This window comes from Homo sapiens, chromosome 6, assembly GCF_000001405.40.
Source record: "Homo sapiens chromosome 6, GRCh38.p14 Primary Assembly".
NCBI classification, from domain to species: domain Eukaryota; kingdom Metazoa; phylum Chordata; class Mammalia; order Primates; family Hominidae; genus Homo; species Homo sapiens.
The window spans coordinates 135,377,066-135,389,725 of NC_000006.12; the positions used below are offsets into that span (position 1 = coordinate 135,377,066).

The 12,660-nt window shown below is 36.2% G+C and overlaps 1 protein-coding gene across 22 annotated transcripts in view; it reads right to left on the minus strand.

Moving 5' to 3' along the window:
• Positions 1 to 12,660, minus strand: part of AHI1 (Abelson helper integration site 1) — a 214,209-nt gene that overhangs the window by 93,534 nt on the left and 108,015 nt on the right. For 4 of the 22 annotated variants that reach the window (XM_047418945.1, NM_001134832.2, XM_017010984.3 and 1 more), the window contains one exon: positions 10,719 to 10,968. The exons of the other annotated variants lie outside the window; for them this stretch is intronic. In XM_047418945.1, the coding sequence (XP_047274901.1) occupies positions 10,916 to 10,968 (53 nt within the window). In that variant the 3' untranslated portion in view covers positions 10,719 to 10,915. Of the gene's footprint in view, positions 1 to 10,718; positions 10,969 to 12,660 lie in introns of those variants that run through there. 22 annotated transcript variants of the gene reach the window in all.

Genomic DNA, 12,660 nt, shown 5'->3' on the forward strand with positions numbered 1-12,660 from the left:
TGAGACTTATTTGACACAATTACGGAAATCTGAATACGAACTGTTTATTAGATTAGAATCTTGGTTATTTTTCTTAGGTATGATAATGGTACTGTGGTTAGACAGTAAAATATCCTTACTTTAGCAAATGTATGATGAAGTTTTGGGAAGGAAGAAGAAAATGCAAATTTAGGGGTTTTATTTTACATTTTTCCAATTTTTTATGGTTAAAAAAAATTTCAAAATAAAGTTGGGGAATAATAGGCCCTGAATAGACATTTAATTATCTTACAGTAGGCAAACTGAATCTTCAACAGTTTTGCCTGAATAGACGATTATCTTACAGTAGGCCACCGAATCTTTAACAGTTTTGAACACTGTAAAATATTCCACATAAGCAGAGTAATCTGGCTTTGAGTTATTTATTTATTTATTTATTTATTTATTTATTTATGATACAGGGTCTTGCTTGGTTGCCCAGGATGGAGTGCAGCGGCATAATCATGGCTCACTGCAGCCTTGATCTCCTGGGCTCAAGTGATGCTTCCACCTCAGCCACCCGAGTAGTGGGACTACAGGCATGTACCACCACACTCAGCTACTTTTTAAATTTTTTTGTAGTAACGGGGTCTCACTATGTTGCCCAGGCTTGTCTTGAATTCCTGGCCTCAAGCAATCTTCCTGCCCCAACCTCCCAAAGTACCAGGCGCATGAACCACTGAGCCCAGCCTGAGTTCTTATTTTAAAAATGTCTCAGCATTATTAAAAGCAATTAGAAAACAAATAGAGCACTCCTTCTCAACTCTGGATTTATCAGATCACCTTCCTAAACATAAGAGAAAGCTAAAAAATTAATGCATGAATGAATAAATATTATATATTTATATTCTACATGTTGACTGCTCTATTCAATAAATTTACTATGTTTATTGAAAAATAATGTTTTCTGGGAAAATTACTGTCCCAACCAGAGATATCAGTTATTTATAATTCTCCATGATTAGTATTTGTTCCTTTACAATTAGAAAAAAACATACTTCAAGGGATAATTTATTAGTATAATATGCCCTGACTCTGGGGCCATTCTGCATGTATTAGAAGACTGGCTCTGACAATTGTTAGATATGTGATCTTGGACTAGTTATTTGCAACTCACATCTCTGGGAAGACCTTCTTGGGCTATGCCAGTCTTTAATAATCTGTATTATTTATTCCCAAATATTAGTCAAAAATAAAATTCACTGATAAAATGAATACATAAAGTTAGCAGATTTAATAGACTTCTAAACTAATGCCCAAATAATTTAATTGTGCTAACCAATAATCAAATACCAACTATACTAATTTCTACCTAAAACCATAAAGAGTTGCCTACAATTTTTAGTATTTGATAAATTTCCTCAGTAAACTCTAATATGGATTGAAGTCTGTTCAAATCGTATCGTTTGTGACATGCTCTATATATTCTATCTGAGGCTAGCAGGATGTGTTCCTAATAAAGCCTGCCACATATTTATTACACTGGCAAAGCCAACAAACTTCAATTCTGTGTGTTCAATCCTTAAAATATAATTTAATATCTGTCTTTAACATTATTTTAACAATAATGTTATAGATTGAAAGTAGATTAACAATAGATTAACATAGATTTAACAATATATTATGGACTGAAAATCAAAAGTATAAATATAACAAGGATAAGAAAGGTAAATTTATAATTTCAGTATTTCCTTTTTACTGATTTGTTATTACAATGCAGAGTTAAAAAAATACAACAACAAAAGAAGCTTCTTGTATTTTCTTGTTTCCTCCTTTTTTTCCTTACTGTCTTTCTGGGTAAGAAACATCCAAGTTATCCACCTCATAGTCACCCCTAATAGTTCTTAGTTTCTTTTCACTAAATAGCCTCTTCCAGCTTATCTCATTAACTCCCATGGGCTCAAATACCACACATATACCAATGACTCCTTCATCTATACTTACACTCTAAGCCTATATTCCAAAATACACTGTATAGTTCCTAGCACAGGGCTTGACTCATAGTAGGATATTTAATAAATGAGGTTCAAATGATTGAGCAAGCTATTAGATATCGTGTTTCAGAAATGCCATAATATCTTGTAGGCATTTCAAACTTAATATATCTAAAATACAATTCATTATCTTCCTCTCAATATTCCTGTATCTCCTATTTTCATTTATGGATTGCTATCCACTCATTCACCTAAATTAGAAGCCTCTGGCACCCTCAAATTCTACTTCTCTATCTTCACTCACATTCTAGACCTCCACGTTAATGATTTAACATCTCCACTCTCTTACTTCAACCCCCTTCTCCTACCTCAATTATTAAATCACCTTTTAACTGGCCTTCCTAGCTGTAATGCCCTAACACCTTTTATGATTCTTCTCATCTTACAATTAGTTCACATACTGTCTTCTCTATGAGGCCTTATTGTCTTCTTTAACACAGAATTTGTTACTATATCATCTGCATTCTCTAGTACACTTTGTTCATTCCTTTTACAGCAAATATCAAACTATGCAATCCCATCTACCTACCTATTTAAAAATAGGTTTCCAGTGAATACTAGCAGTGCTAGGGATGGGGCTGAGTTCTGCACTTCATTCCTACAAGGTTCTGTACAATCTGGGCCTGCTGCTACCTCTCTGAACTTACTGTTTTCTACTCTCCTCCTTGTTCCCTCCAATCTAGCTATACTGACCTCTTTGCTGTTCAAAATGCATACCAAGTACATTCCTGTTTCAGGATCTTGGATGGGGATGCTATTCTCCCAAACAACTTACAGCTTCCTAGCTTCCTTCCTTCCTAGCTTCCTTTTTTCCAAGCTCCCTTCCCTTTCCTTCCTTCCTTCCTCCCTCCCTCCCCCAACTCCCTCCCTCCTTCCCCTTCTCCCTCCCTCCCTCCCCTTCACCCTCTCCCTCCCTCCCCTTCCCCTCTTCCTCCCTCCTTCCTTCCTTCCTTCCTCCCTCCCTCCCTCTCTTTCTTCTTCTTTGTCGTCATCTGAATTTTGCTTAATTCTCAGCTACTTTGTGAAGCTTTCCTTGACCACTCCATTTAAACAGCAACCCAACCCTACTCCTCAGGTGCAACTCCCTTCCCTGCTTTGTCGTTATAATGTTTTTATTTAACAGCCCTCTGCATCCATGGGTTCTGCATCCACGCATTCAACCAACCATGGATTGAAACTATTCAGAAAAGAAATGCATCTGTAATGAACACATAGACTTTTTTCTTGTCATTATTCCCTATACAATACGGGACAACTATTTATACAGCATTTACATTGTATTAGGTATTATAAGTAATCTAGAGATTATTTAAAGTATATAGGAGGATGTACACAGGCAATATCCAAATACTGTCCATTTTATATTGGGGACTTGAGCATCCAAGGACCTTGCTATCTACAAAGGGTCGTAAAACCAACTACCCAGATACTGAGGGATAACCAGACTACATTTGCTTAATGTCATTCTCCACTAGAAGGTAAGCTACACAAAGATGTGGAGTTTTACCAGTTTTGTTCACTGATACGTTCAGAGCATGTATAAAAGTGCCTGGGACACTGTAAGTATGCACTGGGTACTTACTGAATGTATAAATGCTCTTGCATTCCCAGTACCTGCATGTGTACAAATTAAACATCTTTTTAAGTAAAATAACCCCCCCCCCCCCAAAAAAAAAGTACAAAGTTAAAACAAGAAGGGATTTAATGGTGGAAAACATTTTTTGGTCCATTACATTGGTATGGTATTGAGAATGTGAGATGGTGTGAACCCATTTTTTCCAGGTCTTTCCATAAAAGAGACATTTTAAGTTCTAGGGAAAACTTTTAAATTTAAACTTTGAACATAAGCATGATGATTTAGAAAAAGATTTTCATATCCAAAGCAAAGAGAAGTTATTTTTAAAAATATGCTTATTATGTTATTTTTTCCCTGCAGTAGTTCAGTGAACATTAAGCACATTAATTTGCCTGTTATATGTGCATTTATATCTGCCTTTTACATTAGCTTTTAAAGTGTTTTACTTTCAACTCTTCATTAAATCTTCACTTCAAAATCAGACTAAAAAGACTGAGATAACATTATGCCTCATAATGTCACTACTGAAGAAGGGAAAAAAAAAGGAAAAGTGGACTCCCACAAAAAACAAGCTTCACTGATTCTAAGTTGGCCAAAACAAAACACCTGTTCATGCCCTATATTTCTCAGACAAATTTAACAGCAATGAGATGTAAAAGACTTGATTCCTTTTAAAAAAAGTGGCAAGTATACACAATAACACATATACATACAAACACCCATATAGACATTAATATGAAATACAAACACACCCACATAGACATTAATATGAAATAAACTGGAGTCCTACTAAGCATAAACTCACTTATTCTCAGAATGCCGTAAGATCCTTGGGAGGCAGATTTGAAGAAAGCATACTAAGATCATTATATGACTTGTGACACATGAGCCTTACAAAAGGCCAGCAACGAAATCCAGATTCTGAGTTCTAAGCTATCATTTAGAGAACTCCAAAATAGATGATACTGTTGTATACTGCATGGGCAAGATAAATTTCTAAACAAGGCCATAAAACTAAGTGCACTTTATAAGGATGATACATGTAATCGGACTTACTCTCCCCTCTGTGCTGCCACAGTGTTTTATACGCATGCCCTGTTGAATTTACCACCATCATATTATAACTATTTCTTTGCCTGCTGGACTCCCCAGATAGACTGGAAAGCCTCTGAGGGCTTTCATCTTCCATTTCTCGCAGTGCTTGGCAGAGTCTCTGTTACATAGTAGGCTCTCCATAAACAATGCTTGATGAAATGCTTCAATTAACTTTTGAAAATATTAAAAATGTTTTTATTTTTTAAACTGAATAACAGTTTTCATTAGAGTACTTCTATTAAAATGTGTTATTTCTGGTTCTTCTCAAAAAAAGGATGGAAACCAGTTAGAAATCATTCTTAACTTTTATTCCTTATGAATTACAGTTGAATGTTTTCTTAGAGAAAGTTGAGGAAAAAAGTAAATTGTCTGAAATAAGAACAATGTTCCACTTTTTACTTATTAACCATTTATAACACAAAAATCTCTTACATTGTTTAAAAAAAAATGACCAGTCACGCATATAGTCATTTGTCACTTTCCGTATTTCTCAGTAACTTTGCTCTCACACTGGTAGGCAAGTTGCTGACTAAGAACAACACAGTGATTCTTTACATTTTCATTCACTTTTCATTCAAGGAAAAGGCTTCTTAAAAATGTGCATTTAAAATTCTAGAAAATACAAATCAACATTATCTCTAAGTCTCTATCATTACCAGAAGGTCTGGTTCCTAAACCTAATTTCCATTGTTAGTTAACATCTTCAATAAGTGATGGATATTCATTTCCAGAAAACATTACCAGTAAATTCTATTATATCACAGACTGTTCACTATCCAGACCAAACTGACTAAACCACAAAATGCAAAAGTATGCACTTCACTTCTCTAAGGGAAACCTTAGGGCTATTCTGAGTATAGTTTTAGCAGATTATGACCTAAGGGTAAATGAGAGCTTAATTAGATAGCCTCCTTCTGAATTTCCAGAGCTTTCAGTAGACACAAACTAAAATGTTTAAAAACTAAAAATTTCTTGTCACAGATTTAATTTTTTAAAAAGTTACTCTGAGACATAAGGATTTACAAAGGAAATAAAAAAAACTGTTATTTTTGTGATACAAGTGCTATTTCATTTTTCCCCCAGAGGAGGAAACATGAAGAGCTGCTTGCTTGGTTCCAGGCGGTGCCCATCCTAAGCAAAATTAGTAAAAAAAAAAAAAAAAAAAAAAAAAAAAAAAAATATATATATATATATATATATATATATACATATAAAATAATAATAATTTTTTAAAAATTGGATCACTTACCACAGAATCACAGAATATAATGGCTGAAATGAACACTGATGTGAAATATGCGAAAACAAGTATATATGATTAATTTGGAGAAAAAGACCTTTTATTTTGTGAATTAAAATATTTTTCATTATCAGAAATGTGTCCAACATTTTGTATATATAAATATATACACTGTAATAGTGAAGAACTAAAGATGGCTTAAAATTATGATTGATTGATTCCTTCCTTCCCCCCTCCCTTTTTTTTTTTTTTTTTTTTTGAGACAGGGTCTTGCTCTGTCACCCAGGCTGGAATGTAGTGGTACAATCATGGTTCACTGCAGCCTCAACCTCCTGGGTTCAATCGATTCCCCTCTGCCTCAGCCTTCTGAGTAGGTGGGACCACAGGCATGTGCCACCACTCCTGGATAATTAAAAAAACATTTTTTTTAAAGAGACAGGGTCCCACTGTGTGGCCCAGGTTGGTCATGAACTCCTAGGCTCAAGTGAATCACCTGACGGGATTACATTGGTATGGTATAGAGAATATGAGATGGTGTGAACCCATTTTTCATACCCAAAGCAAAGTGTTGGGATTACAGGTATGAGTCATCTTGCTCAGCCAGAATGGAATACTCATTTTCTTCAAAGGCATGTATTAAGTGTATTATCAGAAAAAAAAAGTTATAGAAAAACCTATTTTAAAATCTAAGTATTTGGAAATATATTTTATAACAACATCATTTTATATGCCCAATTATCTTAAAAATTGAACTGTCCATTTCGATTTGAGATTACAAAATTATAAAATGCATTTTATGGTTGATAGTAAACTATATTAATGTAGTCATATCGTCAAACTATAAAAAAATAAAGTTATGCCTGGTCAAAATAATTTAGCTACTTTATAACCAACCCTCTCATCTCACCTGTTGCAGCCATATGGCATTGTTGTAATTCTTCCTTCAATTCTCACTTTTGAGTAAACTGATTACTGAGTTTCCTTTACCCTAGAGGCAAAGCAGTGAGTTGCAAAACATTTACTACTTTCACCACGGTATAAATTATGTTCCGATAAAGTAGCTGAAACCTTTCAAGTCTTCTACTTTATATAATAAAAACCACTTATTGAAATGTTTTCAACAGTATGCCTGAAAGTTATATTTAGAAATAATACATATGTACCACAGAAATATAGATTTTAACATAAGACATTTACTAGGTTTAGTTCTAAGAACATAGTGCTTTCCCTTTCTAAAATTTAGTGGGAAGTTAGATAAATTTAAAATAAAAACATTCAATGATTAAAGTAGTTCTGAATATAGTTATAAAGATACAATCTATTATTCCTATTGCACTGTAAGACAAACAAATTTTGGTATTTAAAACCTTTCACTTGTAGTAAACATTTTCCTGTCCTCTATTTTCAAATGACAAGTCTCTGAAATGAAATAATAACTTGCTCAAGTCACAGCATTAAGCAACAGAATATGGATCTAAATACAAATGCCTCTGACCTCCGGCTAAGTGCTACCAGAATCTCATGTATTTATTTAAATAGGAAAAATAAGACACTTCTAGAGTCCCTATTCAAGCTAATCAAAATTGCTTATTAATAACATCTTCAAAATCATGATGATGAAATGCCACCACAAAATCTTCAACATTAGGCAAGTTTTATTATTAAAAGTGTTATTTGCATTCAGTTTTTTAAATGGTAATCTATTCTTTATATTGTAACATCTGATTTGCTGGGAGTCAGATAATGAAGTGGATTTTATAAACTTGCACTGGCCCATATGGTACCTGCTGGCTAGATGTGGTTTTTAAAATGTAAATTGGACAGGCATGGTAGCTCACACCTATAATCCCAGCACTTTGGGAAGCTGAGGTGGGCGGATCACCTGAGGTCAGGAGTTCAACACCAGCCTGCCCACCATGGTGAAATCCCGCCTCTACTGAAAATAAGAAAATTAGCTGGGCATGGTGGCAGGTACTTGTAGTACCAGCTACTTGGGAGGCTGAGGCAGGAGAATCACTTGAACCTGGGGGACAGAGGTTGCAGTGATCCGAGATCGCGCCACTGCACTCCTGCCTGGGCGACAGAGCAAGACACCATCCCCCCCACCTCCCAAAAAAGTAAATTAATTAAAATGAAATAAAATTAAAAATTTAGTTCCTATGTTACACCAGCCTCTAGCTACCATGATGGATTGTGTACATCTAGAGTTCAGAAAAGAGGTATGGGTTGAAGATAAATATCTGAAAATCACTGGCATATGAGTTAAAGTCATGGGATCACTAAGGGAGTGGGCATATATAGGGAATAAAACAGGGTCAAATTGCAGTGAAACCATCTTATAAGACATGGAAGAAAAGAGGAAAAATTAGCAAAGGAGAATGAAGAGTGCCTAATGAGATAAGAGGCAAAACAAGAGAATGTGGTATCCCAGAAACCATGTATTTAGAAGTGATCCAATGTGTCAAATGCTGCTGATAGGTTAAGCAAGATAAGAACAAAGAATTGACCACTGGAATTAGCAATGAAAAGGTCACTTTTGAGCTTGAAAAGAAGAGATTAGAGATTTCAACAAATTCATAGAAGACGGAAAACGATTAGAAACATCTGTCTGAAAACATTATTGGAGGGCTGTAGTAGATATAGAAGCTATCTGACTATGAAACCTGTGAATTTGGAATCAGCATATTTGTATGGGGGAAAACCTGACTGAAAACCAGGAGAAGTAACAGAAGATTCATTTGTACAATACGTAAGCTAAACAGGCTGTGAAATCCCTGGAAAGTGAAGGATGCCCAGCATTAACAGCCTGCCACAAAACAAAAACAAAAACAAAACAAAACAAGGAAACATTGATTGATTTAGGAAGGTGTAATGGCAGAAATCAGTGTCTTTAAATTCTTTCTTAACTTACCCCAGACACATAAGTCTGAGGCTTTAATATATTCACAACATTTTTACCATTTTTATGATGTTATAGCATTTACCAATGGGAGAACACTGATCACACTGTAGTGAGTAACTGTCTACTTCTAACAAAAAACTGTTGACTCTTGAAGGCAGGGTGTATAATTTTTAATCTGAACAACTAGCACAAAACATATCGTCTGGCCTACTATAAGCAGTTCAGAAGCTGAATACAACAAGTGGTTTCTGAAGGATAAAGGCTGAATTAGAAATTTGGTGTTAATTCCTAATCTGAAGTTCATTCCTCCACGTATCAGTGCTTCTGTCAATAAACAATTGTAACAAAACATTTTTGGTAAAAAAAAAAAAAGCACCTTTTCTTCCATTTTGATGTTATCTACTATAGAAAAGTGTTTTGTTTTTTTTTTTCTTTTTTGAGACGGAGTCTCGCTCTTCCGCCCAGGCTGGAGTGCAGTGGCATGATCTCGGCTCACTGCAAGCTCCGCCTCCCGGGTTCACACCATTCTCCTGCCTCAGCCTCCCAAGTAGCTGGGACTACAGGCACCTGCCACCGTGCCCAGCTAATTTTTTATATTTTTAGTAGAGACGGGGTTTCACCGTGTTAGCCAGGATGGTCTCGATCTCCTGACCTTGTGATCCGCCTGCCTCGGCCTCCCAAAGTGCTGGGATTACAGGTGTGAGCCACCGTGCCTGGCCTAGAAAAGTGTTTTTTCTTTTCTTTTTTTGTTTTTTTTGAGACGGAGTTTTGCTCTTGTCATCCAGGCTGGAGTGCAATGGCGTGGTCTCAGCTCACTGCAACTTCCGCCTCCCAGGTTCAAGTGATTCACCTGTCTAAGCCTCCCGAGTAGCTGGGATTACAGGCGCCCACCACCATGCCTGGCTAATTTTTGTAATTTTAGTAGAGACAGGGTTTCATCATGTTGGCCAGGCTGGTCTTGAACTCCTGACCTCAGCTGATTGGCCCACCTCGGCCTCCCAAGGGGATCATAAGGCATGAGCCACCCCACCTGGCCTTTTTTCTTTTTTCTTTTTGAGACAGGGTCTTGCTCTGTCTCGACCTCCAGGCTCAAGTGATCCTGCCATTTCAGCCTCTTGAGCAGCTGGGACTATAGGCACATGCCACTACACCTGGCTAACTATTTTGTATTTTCTGTAGACAGAGCTTCGTCATGTTGCCCAAGCTGGTCTCAAACTCCTGAGCTCAAGTGATCTTACACCTCAGCCTCCCAAAAGTGCTGGGATTACAGGCATGAGACACAGCACCTTGTTGAAAAGCATTTTCTTAAGAGAGGAAAAACTACAGGTTGCAAAATGGAATTATATGAAGTATCTCAAGATTTTTTGATACCTCTGGGGATTATGTTCTTAGAGATGGTCAAATTCTAAGAGAAACAGAGGCTAGCAAATGGAGTTCTGTTGTTGCTTTTGTTCTATTTTAATGTCTGTGGAATAAAGGATTGTCCCCCAACCGAACCCATGCCCTGTAGATTTTGGCCAGATTACACAGATGAGAGAATACTTTGATTTTAATCATCTTAAAATCTCAATGTTATCTCATTACATGCCAAAGACGGCTTAAGGGTGGTACTCGTGTAGAAAGCTAAAGTTTGGAAAGTTAAGTGTTCTAGTGGATTACTCAAGTTTAAGATGCTTGACAACTTTCTTCTTGAAATTACTTCATCTTAATGCCTTTTTTGGCATGCTTCTAAAAATACTATATCCATTATTTGTCTCTTTGACATGTTCCTTTTCCTATAATCATCACTTAACAAATTTTATTAAGTTGTATCTTAAAATATCTTCCACTCTTTTGGCAATAAAACAAACTGTATAATTTCAAACTAAAAAAAAAAATCAAAAAAGCCTCCCATAACCTCATACTGTTTATTCTCCCAATATTTTATGAGTTTCAAAGTATTAAATGTATTGTGTTGATTCTGACAATTCTATGAAGTAGGAAATGTGGAGACATTTATCCGAAGAGAGAAAGTGAACTACCTAACAAAACAGTTAGGAAGTGGTGGGATCCCAGGTCGGCTCAGTTCTTCTGGCTGGCTGACCCTGAGTCTAGTGCTTTTTCCACCATAATATACATGTGTTGAATTCAGCAAAGTGACTGTCTGGAAAACAAATTCTTGTCGTTAAAAACTGCATAATAAAAACATTTTTGATTCTTTTTAGTACCATAAAAGACATTTAAGGGCATCTGCCTATAGAAATCAGTTAATTTTGTAGATTACCTATTAATCTACAATAGTGAATTAATGCCTTTTACCTATTGTACCACCTGAAACACTGGAATTTTGAAAGTCTGAAACCAGAATTAAATCAAACATTCTTTTTCAATTAACAGTTTAAAGTTCATGAAGTAATACTAACAGAAAGCTCTGCCAATTCTGACGAGATGAGAAAGTCTTTGAAGCTCATTTTACCTTCCTTAAAATGGAAACCCCCTTATACCATCAGCTGTGTTTATTGAGAGTCATTCTAATTATTAATTTTTGCCAAAATGTTTTTTCTTTGAAATACAAGAATCATCATGCTTCCAGCTTAGATGTAATCTACCTTCTACAATGGCTTATACAAGAATATCACAGAATCTCTGGTGAAATTATGATCCAGGATTCATTTCACATTTCAGTTGTCTAAAAAGTTTTACATTTCTCTATAAAAAATTAAAACTTCAATATACCAAAATCTTAAAAACAGTAAAAAATTTAACTGGAACAATGACTCTCAATTTTAAGAGCTGGTCAAGGGAATGTAAGTATATACTTTCAAAGACACACAAAATGAATGAAAAAATGCAGTTCTTCGACCAGATGCAGTGGCTCATGCCTGTAATCCCAGCACTTTGGGAGGCTGAGATGGGCGGATCACTTGAGGTCAGGAGTTCAAGACCAGCCTGGTCAACACGGTGAAACCCCGTCTCTACTAAAAATACAAAAATTAGCTAGGCATGGTGGCAGGCGCCTGCAATCCCAGCTACTCAGGAGGCTGAGGCACGAGTATCACTGGAATCTGAGAGGCGGAGGTTACAGCGAGCTGAGACCGCGCCACTGCACTCCAGCCTGGGTGACAAGAGTGAGGTTCCGTGTTAAAAAACAAAAAATACGGCCAAGTGCAGTGGCTCATACCTGTAATCCCAGCACTTTGGGAGGCCAAGGTGGGCGGATCACGAGGTCAGGATATCGAGACCATCCTGGCTAACATGGTGAAACCCTGTCTCTACTAAAAAACACAAAAAATTAGCCAGGCATGGTGGCGGGCACCTGTAGTCCCAGCTACTCGGGAGGCTGAGGCAGGAGAATGGAGTGAACCCGGGAGGCAGAGCTTGCAGTGAGCCGAGATCGTGCCACTGCACCAGCCTGGGTGACAGAGCAAGACTCTGTCTAAAAAAAAAAAAAAAAAAAAAATACAGTTCTTCAAATATTATTCAACATGTCGATGCACAAGAGTTAGCTTGACAGATCTCTTAACCAATACCACAGTCACTGAATAATTTTATGATCTTGTTTAAATCAAATATTTTCACTGTGAAGGAAAATAGGATATGGCAAAACATTCGATTAAATGGTTGGTTATCAAGTTTAACATAGTTTTACAAGGTCTAACGGAGAACACAAATAAAATTTGGAGAAGGCAGAAGCTATTCATAGTTTTAAAAAATCATGTCATCCCTATCACCACACTGTAAGTTTACAATTAATAAAGATAATATGAAGAGTGCATGAATAAAGTCATATTAATAAAATGATTCATTTTCTTTTGTTTGACTCGACTTATCGATTTAATATGAATTAAATTTAATT